At 45.4% G+C, this 14,943-nt stretch overlaps 1 protein-coding gene across 5 annotated transcripts in view, besides 4 other annotated features; it reads right to left on the minus strand.

The window, feature by feature from the left end:
- Nucleotides 1-14,943, minus strand: part of GLB1 (galactosidase beta 1) — a 136,039-nt gene that overhangs the window by 90,278 nt on the left and 30,818 nt on the right. For 4 of the 5 annotated variants that reach the window (NM_001393580.1, NM_000404.4, NM_001317040.2 and 1 more), the window contains 5 exons: nucleotides 14,078-14,172; nucleotides 6,704-6,884; nucleotides 2,106-2,164; nucleotides 498-619; nucleotides 373-413 (listed from right to left, as the gene is read on the minus strand). In NM_001393580.1, coding sequence (NP_001380509.1) covers nucleotides 373-413; nucleotides 498-619; nucleotides 2,106-2,164; nucleotides 6,704-6,884; nucleotides 14,078-14,172 — 498 coding nt within the window. The remainder of the gene's footprint in view (nucleotides 1-372; nucleotides 414-497; nucleotides 620-2,105; nucleotides 2,165-6,703; nucleotides 6,885-14,077; nucleotides 14,173-14,943) is intronic. The other variant, NM_001135602.3, reaches the window with a different exon arrangement.
- Nucleotides 3,887-3,966: an enhancer, noted in NCBI's record as "active region_19641". NCBI's record gives its function as "activates an Ori minimal core promoter by ATAC-STARR-seq in GM12878 lymphoblastoid cells {active_cell/tissue: GM12878}" and the evidence as "EXISTENCE:reporter gene assay evidence [ECO:0000049][PMID:35858748]".
- Nucleotides 6,130-6,179: an enhancer, noted in NCBI's record as "active region_19642". NCBI's record gives its function as "activates an Ori minimal core promoter by ATAC-STARR-seq in GM12878 lymphoblastoid cells {active_cell/tissue: GM12878}" and the evidence as "EXISTENCE:reporter gene assay evidence [ECO:0000049][PMID:35858748]".
- Nucleotides 6,330-6,409: an enhancer, noted in NCBI's record as "active region_19643". NCBI's record gives its function as "activates an Ori minimal core promoter by ATAC-STARR-seq in GM12878 lymphoblastoid cells {active_cell/tissue: GM12878}" and the evidence as "EXISTENCE:reporter gene assay evidence [ECO:0000049][PMID:35858748]".
- Nucleotides 10,501-10,550: an enhancer, noted in NCBI's record as "active region_19644". NCBI's record gives its function as "activates an Ori minimal core promoter by ATAC-STARR-seq in GM12878 lymphoblastoid cells {active_cell/tissue: GM12878}" and the evidence as "EXISTENCE:reporter gene assay evidence [ECO:0000049][PMID:35858748]".

The following is a 14,943-nucleotide window of genomic DNA, read 5'->3' on the forward strand; positions in this document are numbered from 1 at the left end:
CAAGAGTTCAAGACCAGCCTGGCCAACATGGTGAAACCCCGTCTCTACTAAAAATGCAAAAACTTAGCCAGGCATGGTGGTGCATGCCTGTAATCCCATAATCCCAGCTACTTGGAGGCTGAGGCAGGAGGATCCCTTGAACCTGGGAGGTGGAGGCTGCAGTGAGTTGAGATTGTACCACTGCACTCCAGCCTGGGTGACAGAGTGAGACTGTCTACAAAAAAAAAAAAAAAAGAAAAAGAAAAAAAAAGAAAATTTAGGAGAGGATAAACAAAAAAAGGAAAATAAAATTGTCTGTGGGCACACCCCTCCTCAAATTAATCAACAGAAACATTCTAGCATAAGTTTCTACAGATATTAAAGTGCTCTTACCATTCCAATAGGCAAAATTGGTCCCACCTATAAACATGTACCTACAAGGAAACAAAAGAACACGGTACTTCACTGTGAGCCCATGGCTACTGAGGGCACCCTCCCCTCAGGCAATGAACACTCACAAGTTCACACTCGCCCCACGGGCAAGTATATCATAGAGGGAGGAAGCCACTGCTTCGGTCTTGATTGTGGAGTGAGGTTGGCCCCAGTGATCTAGCCAGCCAGTATAGAATTCAGAATTGATCTAAAACAAAAAAAGAACGTAGCCCTTAGGATAGACTTATGACCTTCCAATGCCAGGGCTTCCCTGCAATGCCCCATCTATGACAGGTGTAAAGGGGGTTGACATGCTGACATGCACTGCTTAACCCAGAGACGCCCCCCAGTGAGCACTTCCAATACCAGCAATGCCTATGTTCAGTCCTCAGGTTCTAACCTAAAGTAGATCTCATCTTATACAATGCAAGTATTCCTGAAAAGTGGTGCCTATATTAAAATTTAGATAGCTGATCCCCTGTTTAAACACAGTAGGAAAGTCTTGTTGGGCAAAGAAACTGGGTAGCAAAATATTTTTATAGAATAACAGCTCCAGGCCGGGCGCAGTGGCTCATGCCTGTAATCTCAGTACTTTGGGAGGCCGAGGTGGGCGGATCACAAGGTCTAGAGATTGAGACCCTCCTGGCCAACATGGTGAAACCCCATCTCAACTAAAAATACAAACATTAGCTGGGCATCGTGGTGCGCCCCTGTAGTCCCAGCTATCAGGAGCCTGAGGCAGGAGAATCGCTTGAACCCGGGAGGTGGAGAATGCAGTGAGCTGAGATCGCGCCACTGTACTACAGTCTGGCAACATAGTGAGACTCCATTTAAAAATAAATAAATAAATAACAGCTCCAAATTCAACCTTTGTATGAATCCAGATTTTCAGATCTCAGGTTGATTTATAACGAGGAAGGCTTGTCCCAGTATTCTGCAAAGCAGGCCTCAAACACTTCATGTTTTTCTTGGGCATTGCCCTGCCAAGCCTTGGTCTAGAGAACAAAAAAGAAGTCTGGACCTTCTTGTGGGGACTTCTTGTTTTAGGTTCCAGGAAATAGCTCCACCCAAAGTCTATGAATGCAGGGTCTGCACTGCTCACTAAGCAGAGACTAGACTCAGAAAAGGCTGTTTTATAAATCAGGCTTGTACACAGGTGGGGCAGTCTGACCTAGTGCAGAGAAGGCGCAGGATATTAACCCCTTAAACTGGGCTGAGTGACAACAAGAATAGCAACTTCAGCCAAAGACGGGAAGAACGGAGAGAGAAGGATTGATAGATTGTTGACACCCACCTGCAGCTTGCCAACCATCCCGGCTTAGCCACACACTGGCTATATGACCCTGGCAAGTGACATAGGTTCCCTGAGCCTCAATAAAAATGGAGACAATAAGACCACTTATGAGAGTTGCCCTGAGGACCAGATGAGACCAGGATGCAGGAGCACAGAACCTGATGTGTAACAGGCCATTCATGTTGGTCCCCAGTCTGTTCCACCCCAGTGCAGGAGCTCAATTTCAAATAGAAACATTGTTTCTGCTGTCATTCACATGTCCAGAATGGCTATGACTCCACAATCCCATTAGCTGCTGACTCCAGAGCCAAAAACATCAAGGGCCTACTGCCCAGTTTCAGCAGCATGTAACTTTTCTCTCTTAACAGCTGCAAACACACACCTCACCCTCGATTCTTACCAAGGGTCCTTTGGGCTCACACTTCCTCTGGCTTAGGAAAGCATCTGTGATGTTGCTGCCTGAAAATTGTAAGAGGGAGAAGGTAGGTCAGTCGTGGAAATGACAAGAAGTTAAATAACAAGAGCCCTTCATGGGACTCGGGCCTGAAGCCCTGCTACGGTCAGAATGTTAGTATCCCCCCAAAATTCTCATGTTGGAACTTAACACCCAAGATGATAGTATTAACAGGTGAGGCCACTGGAAGTGATTAAGTCATAAGGGCTCCACCTTCATGAATGGGATTAGTGCCCCTATAAAAACAGACTCCAGCCTGGCATGGTGGAGACCACCTGGCCAACATGGTGAAACCCCATCTCTACTAAAAATACAAAAATTAGCCAGGCATGGTGGCACACACTTGTAATCCCAGCTACTCAGGAGGCTGAGGCAGGAGAATTGCTTGAACCCGGGAGGTGGAGGTTGCAGTGAGCCGAGATCGTGCCACTGCACTCCAGCCTGGGCAACAGAGTGACACTCCATCTCAAAAATATTTTTTTTATTAAAAAAAATAATAATAATAAATAAATAAAAAGAGGCTCAACGGAGCTTCCTGACCATGTGAGGGCACAGCAAGAAGGCACGGCACCATTTTTGAAGCAGAGAGCAAGCCCTTGCCAGACACTGAATCTGCTGGCATCTTAATTTTGGACTTCACCACCTCTAGAACTGTGAGCAATAAATTTCTTTTGTTTATAAATTACCCAGTCTAAGATATTTTGTTATAGCAGCCCACACTGACTAAGACAGGCCCCTTTCCCTTCCCACACCCCATGGGCCTGGAATACTTCCAAGCTAGCTTCTGATTGGACCCATTTGAAGATGTGTGTGGACCAGAGAACATTGCTTCCTCTCTGAGGAGGTCCCCGTGGCCTTTCCTGTCTGCACAAGAGTTCCCTTCACAGGCCTGTCTTCTTTATCTGTGTTTCCCCAGGGCCTGGACACATATCTTGTGGGCTTATCTCTTCACAAGAACATCTGGTTGACCTGGATGCACCCCACAGGATGAGCCTGGTTTGAAGATACTTACAGCCTCAATAACACCATACACATGATACTACCACAAATATTTGCCAGTTAATTAAGAAATCAAAGGGATGTGGGGGCTCTAATTGTGTTTACCCCTGAATAATGGAATATACTCTGGATTCTAATTTGTACATCAGCCATTCCAAACCACTTGCTCTCAAGTTTTCCTCATGAAATGTCCCATTAGGGGTGTCTTGTCTTGCCTCTCGTGTCTTCTATTTTCCCTTCCTCCTCTAAAACAAAAAAGAATTTCTCCACAGAGAAGGAATGGGCTGCCAAACACTGGGGAAAGAGGAAGCATGAGCAGTGTCCACACCAACCCGAGCAGAGAATGCCCTGGCCCCACACTTCACAACCCAGTTCCCACAGCAGGTATCCCAGGGTGGACGTGGCCCCAGCCAAGACCCTCTGATAACCACTTGCTCTGAGATGGGCCTTTGGCTTCTCTGTAAGGCCAGCTTTCAGGACAGAATATGCTGATTGAGAAAGAGCAGAATCTCATTGGCTGTCTTTCTCACTATTAAGCATTAGGTGGCATTCAGCTCTTTAAACACTGTTCTCATGAGACCCATCGGGCAATGCCCCTCTCCCACACAAAGCAATGAAGCTGGCAAAAGCCTCAGACTGGAGGGCCCATCTGCCCCAGGCACCCTGGCCTTGTGGTTGTCTATTCTCCAACCCCTAGCAGTGACAGTCACGCTGTCACCTCACATACAAATTATGCTTAAAACACAATCATAATCACCTTCAATTTGTTCCTCCCAACAGAAAAATGCCGTGCTTTTTCATCGCTGTGATGAGAAGCCTGGCCAAAGCAGGAGGAAACCGGCATGTCACTTCCTCTGCAGCGCTTTGTATTAGGTTGGTGCAAAAGTAATTGTGGTTTTTGTCATGGTTTTCTTTTCTTTTTTTTTTTTTTTTTTGAGATGGAGTTTCGCTCTGTTGCCCAGGCTGGAGTGTAGTGGCGCAATCTCAGCTCACTGCAACCTCTGGCTCCCGGGTTCAAGCAATTCTCCTGCCTCAGCCTCCTAAGTAGCTGGGATTACAAAAGTGCGCCACCACGATTTTTGTACCAGCTAATTTTTGTATCTTTAGTGGAGATGGGGTTTCACCATGTTGGCCAGGCTGGTCTCAAACTCCTGAACTCATGATCCGCCTGCCTTGGCCTCCCAAACTGCTGGGATTACAGGTAGGAGGCACTGCGCTGGGCCCGTTTTTTTTTTTTAAAAGGCAAAAACTGCAATCACTTTTGCACCAACCTAACCAACCTAACGGATGAGTCCTTTTATCACCAAATGCTCTCGAAACACTCCATTCACTTAAGGTCAGTTCTTTTCTGTTCTTCTCTTTTTTGATAAGGTAGAAGAACCTCTTAAAAAATGTGACTACAGACCGGGCGCGGTGGCTCACGCCTGTAATCCCAACACTTTGGGAGGCCGAGGCAGGCAGATCATGTGAGGTTAGGAGTTTGAAACCAGCCGGGCCAACATGGTGAAACCCTGTCTCTACTAAAAATACAAAAATTAGCCAGGCGTGGTGGCAGGTGCCTGTAATCCCAGCTACTTGGGAGGCTGAGGTAGGAGAATGCTTGAACCCAGGAGGCAGAGGTTGCAGTAAGCCAGGATCGGGTCGTTGCACTCCAGCCTGGGCAACAAGAGCGAAACTCCACCTCAAAAAAAAAAAAAAAAAAAAAAAAAAAAAGCAACACCAGGCTAATTTCCTCATTTCAGTCTTCTGTACATCCCTCTTAAGAGAGGCAAACATTGGCTGTGCAATGCACATGAAGTGCCTTTTACCTCAGAGGGGAGAACATCAGGGTCTTTATGCTACTCAAGGAACTGGTCTTTTTTGTGTGTGTGTATCTTTTTTTTTTTTTGAGACAGGGTCTTGCTCTGTTGCCCAGCTTGGGGTGCAGTGGCACAATCACAGCTCACCGCAGCCTTGAACTCGTGGGCTCAAGTGATCTTCCCACCTCATCCTCCCTAGTAGCTAGGACTACAGGCACTTGCCACCATGCCTAGCCTGTAACTTTTTATTCTGCAGTGATTTCAAACTTACAGAATGTTGTAAGAATAGTACAAAAAAACTCTCCTATTCCCTTCACCTAGATTTCCCAATTGTTAGCATTTTACTAGATATACACTATCAGTTTCTCTATAAAAATATACATTTTTCTGAGCCACCTGAGAATAAATTGCAGATGTGATGGCCCTTTATCCCTAAATACATCAGTGTTCATTCTCTCAGAACAAAGGCATTCTTTAAATAAACACAATATACTTCTAAAAATCAGGAAATTATACTGATACAGTACTCTTATCTAATCTACAGACTTTATTCAAAGATTGCAATTTCTCAATAATGTCTTTCATAGCCACACACACAAAAAAAGTCCAGTCAGACATTTAGCTGTTGATATGGTTTGGATCTGTGTTAGATCTGTGTCCCCACCAAATCTCATGTCGAACTATAATCCCCAGTGTTGGAGGTAGGGCCTGGTGGCAGGCGACTGGATCGTGGGGGCAAAGTGCTTGTGAATGGGTTAGCACCATCCCCTCAGTGCTATTCTCCTGATAGTGAGTGAATGAGTTATGAGATCTGGTTGTTTAAAAGTATGTAGCACTTCCCTTCCTATCTCTTCCTCCCGCTCTGTCCATGTAAGACGTGCCTGCTTTCCCTTTGCCTTCTGCCATGATTTTAAGTTTCCTAAGGCCTCCCCAGAAGCTGTTGCCACCAGGCTTCCTATACAGCCTGTGAGTCCATTAAACCTCTTTTCTTTGTAAATTACCCAGTCTCTGGTATTTATTTAGGGCAGTGCAAGAATGGACGAATACAGCTGTCATATCCTTTATGAAAGCCACTCTCCTAAATGAAGTCTCTCTTAATATTACTTATGGCCAGAAGCATCCTAACCACATTGCCCACCCATCTGTAACCTTCACTTGCAGCATCTCCACAGTTTACACAGCACTGTGTAAGGAATCTGGCATAGCCTTTGTAGCATCTGCCAAACCACCTCCAGCCCTGACAGTTCAGTGTTCTAAGTTATGCAGAAAGACAACAAAGCATAAGGTAAGTTCCCAGCCAGTGGCTGACCTCAAGGTTGGCTACAGCCAAGGCATAACCCCGAGTGTCCTGCCAAGGTGGGAGGACAGGGAGGGCAGAAAGAGCAGAGAAGCGCGCCCCAGACACAGCCTAAAAGGTGACTGCCTCAAGGTAGAGCTTCTCACAGCTGGAGATGCCTACCTGCTTCTTCATCTTGGGTGGGCCAGCCTAGCCCCTGAGATAGCAGTACTCCATTTTCCAGGCTAGCTCCACCAGTGCTGAAAATGCAGCTACCCTGGAAGCTCTTGGCCTACAGATAACCCTCTGTTACTGAGGGGTGCAAGTATTCTATTCTACCTGTTCCTTGAAAAATGAAAACATGAAAAATCTCAATCTGCCCATGACACTTATAACAACAGCTGCCCAGAGCAACTGACTGAGTAAAAAGCTGATTTTAAGCTGCAATTTCTGTTACTACAAACACCAACCTGTTCCAAAGTCCACCGTGGTGTAGAGGCCCTGCAGGGCCCCACATTTCAGGAATGTTTTATGTGCTCCATCAGTGGTAAACAGAACCACATCATCCCCCAGATGGTGGCGAAAGCGCTTCTGCAGGAAGCGCAGGTAGTCAAAATCACAGGCAAAGTAGCTGCCATATTCATTTTCAACCTGTGAGTGAAAAAAGAGCAGGGAAAAATGAGGAGATCCTAATGTAGCCACCCTAATGCAAGCTTTTGTGTGGGAAAATATCTGAGCATCTGCTAAGATGACAAGGCTTAATGACTGCTGGAAAAATTTCCTTCACTCAGACCTCAAAACTGACTAAAAGAAAAAACACCAACAATTCACCATAAAAGTTTACCTCCTATTAACCCTCTCCCACCACTGAGAAATAAGAAAAACAAAAAACACCAAACTGGTGTTCAGATTGTAGTGGTATTCTTCCCTAGAATAGAAAGTAGATACTTTAAACATCACATAAATAATACCTTCCCATGGTAGAAATGCTAGAAAAATGAAAAGAAAACAGGAAAAGTATCCATTAATTCCATTGCCCAGAGATAATCACTGCAAGCATTTTAGTATACAGCCGTCTAGATTTACACAGACCCACACACTCCCCAAATATACGCAAATAATATACAGCAGTGTTTTCTTCCCTCAAAACTGGCATATTATATGCACCAATTGTAATTGTGTTTTCCCTTAATATACTATGCAAAATCTCCATGGCAATAAGAAGAAGGGTGAATGCCAGGGACAGACACAGCATGTTTATTTGACCTGCTGTCACACACACACCGGTGTTCAGTTTGTGCTCAATAACATCGGTGGTTCTCAACCAGGAGCTCTTTAGCCCCACAGGGGACATGTGGCTATGTCTGGAAATGTTTGAGGTTGTCATACCTCGGCAGACATGCTCATGGCATCCAGTGGGTAGAGGCCCAGGGATGCTGCCAGACATCCCACAGTGCACAGGGAAGCCCCACAATGAAGAATTATCAGGTGCAACATGGCAATAGTGCTGAGGGTGGGGTCCCTGCTCTGAAGCATGCATTCCCAGTGAGGTGGGTAGCATCCCCAAGGGGGTAAAAATTGATGCTTTGGGGATAAAAAAAATTATTCCTTATTTATATAAAACATACACACACACACACACACACACACACACACACACACACACACACACAGAGCAAATAAACCAATATACAATATCTCAGGTAATAAAATTTCATGGTGGAGAGGAGAAGGCAATTAGAAAAAAAGTTTAAAAGGGATCCTTGGGGGCAATGATGAAAAAATCAGGTTAAGAAACATTGCTCTGAAGCAATAAAACAAATGAACTTCAGCTCTACCCAATACACCAAAGAATCAGGAATATAATGTGAAGTGAAAGAAGCATGACACTGAAAAATACATACAGTACAATCCCCTTTAGAGAAAATTCAAAACAATCAAAACCAAACTATAAAGTCTGAGTACACACATAGGTGGTAAAAGTATAAAGAAAAGCAGAAAACTGATGGTCATAAGCGTCAGGACAGTGGGACGAAATGGTGTATGATCAACAAGGACACCTGGGAAGCTTCTAGGGCACTGGCCACGTGCTGTCTCCTGACCTTGGTTGGTGTTTATGTGGGTGTTCACACCATAGTGATTCATCATACTGCGCATTTACGTATGTATGCTATATTTCATTTATAAAAAATTAAAAAATACCCAACCATAACATTTTAACATGCACATAATACAAAAATATTTGTGATCCTGGGAATACATGATCTTTAAACGTAAGCACAAGAAACTGTGAGTCCCAGAAAAGAGGTGCTTAGCCTGAGTGCCTGGGAGAGATTGTTAGGGAAGGTTCCTTGGAGGGACAGCCCGAGGTAGCTCTAGAAGAAAAGGCTCTGAACTTGGGAAGGGAATGGGTAGAGGATATTCCTACATATTTGACATCACCAACAGCTCAATTTCATCCACGTGCAGAGTTGGAGAGTGGGAGAAGAATGGTGAGTGACAAAAATGAATTAAATGCTGCCGTCGTTATCTGCACAGTCCTGCCTCCCACAAGGTTTCATGAATGATCCTTCTCTCAGAGAGGATCCCTCTGGCAATACTTTCAGATTTGGGGTTCAAGAAGTAAAACAGACTGTAGCACGCATGCCCAGGACAGAGACTTCACTGGTCATGAAACCATCCTGGAAGAGGAAGTATTTGCTGCTTACAAGAGTAGAAAACTCCCATTGATGAGTTCCATGAAAGTTCCTTTTGCAATAATTTAGATAAATGCTAAGAAAAGCTTTGTAAATACTGGCAAAGTTCTTTTCTCCTCCTTTATAAGTGCTACTTACATGACTGTGTCTCCTTTTTATCATCTGGCTGTCAAGAAATTCAGAGCTAAAGATCTTAAAAGTTAGCTCCAGCAACTAAATGGTCTCACAGCCTCTGTACCTCATGTTCTCTTGAGCTCACCCCCATGCCCAAACCCAACCTTGGTTTTCTTATCATCTTGCTTTTCCAGGTCTTATTTATCCATTATCATCATTGTATCATATACTCTAAAATAAACAGGCTTGTAAAAAATGCGTACACATAATTTGGTTAGGTTTTGAGAGAGCGAGAAAAGCACAATTGCGAGGCAGCTTAGAGTTCTAGTCACAGGCACGGCTGGCAGGGGCCCAACTGTCTACATGTAAATCTGAGCTCTGCCACTTCCTACCCATGGGACTCCACCTGTAAAGTGTACCTAACTCGATGGGTTATCATGAGGATTAACTGAGTCAATACATGACTAGAACCTTGCACAGATCTGGCATCTAGTAAGTGCTCAAAATGTTAGCAGCTAAGACTCTACTCAAGTTCTATGTTACTACCAATTAGGAAAAAAAAAGGTGGGTGAAGGCTGGGGGTAGGTGAGACACACAAATGAAAAGGCTTGAAAAACCCATAGAAAAAGTCATGGCTAGGTTCAGAGGAACACCGATGTTTCTAGAGCAGGAGTCAACAAACTTTTTGAATAAAACACCAGGCTGGGCGTGGTGGCTCACGCCTGTAATCCTAGTACTTTGGGAGGCTGAGGCGGGTGGATCACTTGAGGTCAGGAGTTTGAAACCAGCCTGGCCAACATGGTGAAACCCCATCTCTACTAAAAATACAAAAAAAATTAGCCAGGCATGATGGCAGGTGCCTGTAATCCCAGCTATTTGAGAGGCTCAGGTGCGAGAATTGCTTGAACCCGGGAGGCAGAGGTTGCCATGAGCAGAGATTGCGCCACTGGATTCCAGCCTGGGTGACAGAGAAAACAAACAAACAAACAAACAAACAAAAAACCACCAGAGAGTAAATATTTTAGGTGTTGCAGCCATAGAGGTCTCCATCTCAACTACTCAACTCTGCCACTATAGTACAAAAGCGGCCACAGATGATATATAAACGGTGTGGCGATTCCAATATACTTTTACTTACAAAAAAATGTAGGTGGCAGCCATAATTTGCAGGTCTTTGTTTTAGAGTAACTGTCTCCATTCTGTAAGCTCCTTAAGCACCAGAGACTTTTAAAGATGTTGATCTTCCAAACAGTCATAAATAGGCTTATTACCTCATGATGAATGCCCTGTTAATTGGATGAAGTTAAGTTGTGGGTGGAAGGTCGTCCACTCCTAATTATTTTCACCTTGGATATTATCAATGGCTTTAGCTTTTTCAGGTAGAAACTGAGATAAACATCCACATATGCAAACCATCATAGGTGGCACTGGCTCAGCTAATCCCCCCAAAAGAGAAACATCTGCATATCTGACTGAATCATGACGATGAATAAAAGCACAGACCTGGTTTCCTGTATCTGTAACACAACAGTGTTGAGGGCCCTAAATGTTCTCAGACAGGGATTTAAGCCTTCTGGTCTGACTCATTTTTACCCTGGCTGCAAACACGTAGCTCCTCCCTGGCCATCTCAAACTCTGAGCACTGAGAGAGAAAACCAGCATCAAGAATTGAGGAAAGCCACCATTTTCTACCCTTCAACATGAATTAAGACAGAGACAGAAATCAGCTTTTACAGAAATCTTTATTTTTTTTGAGACAGAGTCTCACTTTTTTGCCCAGGCTGGAGTGCAGTGAGTGGTGTGATCACGGCTCACCACAGCCCCAACCTCCCAGGCTCAAGTGATCCTCCTGCCTCTGCCCCCTGAATGGCTGGGAACACGGGTGCATGGCAGCATACTCAGCTAATTTTTAAATTTTTTGTAGAGATGGAGTTTCACTATGTTGCCCAGGCTGGTCTTGAACTCCTGGGCTCAAGAGATCCTCCTGCCTCGGCCTCCCAAAGTGCTGGGATTACGGGCATTGAGCCATCAGCCTTGGCCCTTTTACAGAAATCTTCACACACAGAAATACTGTTTACAGGCCTGGCACAGTGGCTCATGGCTTTCATCCCAGCACTTTGGGAAGCTGAGGTGGGCGGATCATGAGGTCAAGAGATTGAGACCATCCTGACCAACATGGTGAAACCTCATCTCCACTAAAAATACACAAAATTAGCTGGCGTGGTTGCCCGCACCTGTAGTCCCAGCTATTCAGGAGGCTGAGGCAGGAGGATCACTTGAACCCAGGAGGTGGAGGTTGCAGTGAGCCGAGATCTCATCACTGCACTCAGCCTGGTGACAGAGAGAGACTCTGTCTCAAAAAACAAAAACAATAACAACAACGAAAAGAATTACTGTCTACAAATCCCCCGGTTCCTTCTTATCAAAGCAATCAGCTTCTATTCCATTCCAGAGCCGTTCGGTGGGTATGTGATGTGCACAAATGCATGATGTGCCCTCATGGCTACCAGGCAGAGGCGTGGAAGGCCAGGAGACTAGAGACACAGTGTGTCAGGGATGAAACTGCTCCCACATGTGCTTCACAAAAGGAGGCGACAGTGACGGTTCTGAAAGTCCTACGGAAGCCAATATGTCAACTGGGATGGCTTCCAGACAGAAGGAACACGTATAGGAACTGTGCGTCAGAAGGTAAGTAGGACAACCATGAAAGATGATGAAAGAATTTTGAACGATATGAAAAAGTGCTCATGACAAAGAATGAAGCAAAAAAAGCCACACAGAAAATAGGTCACACAGAATGAACTTACTCTGTAAGAAAGCAGAAAAAAAAGGCATAAAAAATATTCAAGGAAACTCCCAAAATGTGAAGAGCTTTGCTATGGCTCCTGAGGTTTGAGTAACAATTATGTTTTTTCTGCTTTCTTATGTCTATACTTGTTTATTTTGTAAACAAGGGGCAAAAATGATTAGTGGGATTCAAGCATGTGGAGATGGGAAGGGGAGAGGAGGAGGAGGAGGGGGACAGAGTCACCTGGCAGGACCCAGGGTCAAGTTAAAGTCATCTGAGGTTGCTAGGGATGGACACAAGAAGAAATATCTCCACACAGTCAACTTCATTCTCCTTTGCAGAATTAATACTTGATTATACTTTTTGTGGCATTTCCAAAACCAAAAGGGGCAGAAAAGTTGTGAGCAGAAATTGAAAGTGATTCAAGGAGAGGCAGAGACTGAAAAAAAGAGGGCATCAAAAGAGGGTTTGCACCTGAGGCCAGAAGAAAGGAAGAAGACACAGCCATGCAGAGCAAAGACGCACCCAAGTTTCAGACTTGATATCTTCATGTAGGAAAATGTGGTTCCTATTAGCTTAACCAGTACAGACACAAGATGGTAAAAACTAGGGGCACGTGGGGTGACTCACACATCCCTCTGTGAGCAGCAACCTGGCCTCTCTCAAGAAGACATCTCCTCCCACCACAAAGCCTCAGAACGGACACCCTGGCCAGTGCAGCCCTCTCAGCACCTCTGTCCACCGACACCTGAAAGGCAAAGCAGTGCCCATGCTCCCACCCTACTATGATCCATCCCCACAAGCTGCCCATAGTACTGTTCATAAGAAGGAAGCCTGGCCCACACTCCCCTAGGGAGTGCCACTTTGCATCCCTGGGATGTCCAGGATGCAGCCACTTTTACATAACTTTACTCTTTTCCATAAAAGCATCCCTGGTCATAGCTGGGCACGGTGGCTCACGCCTGTAATCCCAGCACTTTGGGAGGCTGAGGTGGGTGAATCACCTGAGGTCAGGAGTTTGAGACCAGCCTGGTCAACATGGTGAAACCCTGTCTCTACTAAAAATACAAAAACATAGCCAGGCATCGTGGTGCACGCCTGTAATGCCAGCTACTTGGGAGGCTGACACAGGAGGGTCGCCTGAACCTGGGAGGCAGAGGTTGCAGTGAGCCGAGATTGTGCCACTGCATTCCAGCCTGGGCGACAGAGCGAGACTCTGTCTCCTAAAAAAAAAAACAAAAAACCTTTACTCTTTTCCATAAGAGCATCCTTGGTCATAGCCGGGCACGGTGGCTCACGCCTGTAATCCCAGCACTTTGGAAGGCCAAGGCGGGCAGATCACCTGAGGTCAGGAGTTTGAGACCAGCCTGGCCAACATGGCGAAACCCCGTCTCTACTAAAAATACAAAAATTAGCCAGGCATGGTGGCATGCGCCTGTAATCCCAGCTACATGGGAGGCTGAGGTGGGAGAATTGCCTGAACTCAGAAGGCAGAGGTTGCAGTAAGCCGAGATTGCCCCACTGCACTCCAGCCTGGGCAACGGAATGAGACTCTCTCTCAAAAAAAAAAAAAAAAAAAAAAGAGCATCCATGGCATCCTTGGTCAATGTCCAATGAACATGGTTTTATGTTTCACCTAAGTAATTTTACCAACACCAAAAACTGTTAAAGTTCAATGTACCCCACAGTATATTAGTCCTTGCAGAGCCAAGAACACATAGAAGAAGGAGAATGGGGCAGGAAGTAAGAGAGGAAACATAACAGCCAGCCCCAATTGACCATATCCTTTTCCATTCCAGGGTTATCTGACTGTCAAGGCAGTGCCGATACCAAAGTGTTTCAGTCCACGCTGCATGCCTGCTGCCAGAAAACAATATTGCAGGAGAAACAGAGAGACAAACTCTGGGATCCACAGAATTAGGGTGCTATCCTAATTCTGCCACCTGCTGGCTGGGTGACCTTAGCCAAGTCACTTAACCTTTTCAAACTTCCTCACTGAAAAAAGAAGGTGGTTGGAAGAATTGAATAGCATTTACAAGGCACCCAGCACAAAGCCTGCCACATAGCAGGCATTCAAAAATGGCAATGCCTTCCCAAATGCAATTGAACTAAAAGCACTATCTGTGGCATTACCTCTTAAAGAAACAGACCTATGAGGCTCATGTCTGCATCACTTCTATCATTTATGTAATGTAGATGGATGGGAACCCCTCCCCCAATCCATCCATGCTCAACTCCAGGGTTACCTGCACTGTTATAACTGGCCCTCCATTCTGATAGAGGAGAGGCTTCATCTTGGGCAGAAGGACTCCCAACCACTTGTCCACAGCTGCCAGGTAATCTGGAAAACAAGAAAAGTTTAACACAAGCTTGTCCAACCCCAGCCTGTAAGCCACATGCAGCCCAGGATGGCTTTGAATGTGGCCCAACACAAATTCGTAAACTTTTTAAAAACATTCTGAGTTTTCTGGCTGGGTGCGGTGGCTCACGCCTGTAATCCCAGCACTTTGGGAGGCTGAGGCAGGCAGATCACCAGATGTCGGGAGTTCGAGACCAGCCTGACCAACATGGAGAAACCCCATCTCTACTAAAAATGCAAAATTAGCCAGGCTTGGTGGCGCATGCCTGTAATCCCAGCTACTTGGGAGGCTGAGGCAGGAGAATTGCTTGAACCCGGGGGGGCGGAGGTTGCGGTGAGCCAAGATCGCACCATTGCACTCCAGCCTGGGCAACAAGAGTGAAACTCTGTCTCAAAAAAAAAAAAAAAAAAAATTATGATTTAGTACAAAGAGACACCAGTGCAGCCTTATTACACCAGGGCTGGCAGCAGAGATCAGGATATACAGGACTCGACAAGTACCTTCTGAAGTAAAAGTCTCATAAAAGTTGTCCTGCATGTAGTTGTCTCCTCAGCTGAGCTCCTCAGGGGACGAGGACCAGTGTGCCTGTATCCATCTGCTATGGTTGGAATGTTTGTCCCTCTGAAACTCATGTTGAAATCGAATCCCCAATGTGGTAGTATTGAGAGGTGGGGCCTTTAAGAGGTGTTGAGTCATGAGGGCTCAGCCCTCATAAGTAGATCAATCCACTCATGGATTAATAGATTAATAGG

The sequence above is a fragment of the Homo sapiens genome, chromosome 3 (assembly GCF_000001405.40).
Source record: "Homo sapiens chromosome 3, GRCh38.p14 Primary Assembly".
Classification (NCBI taxonomy): Eukaryota; Metazoa; Chordata; class Mammalia; order Primates; family Hominidae; genus Homo; species Homo sapiens.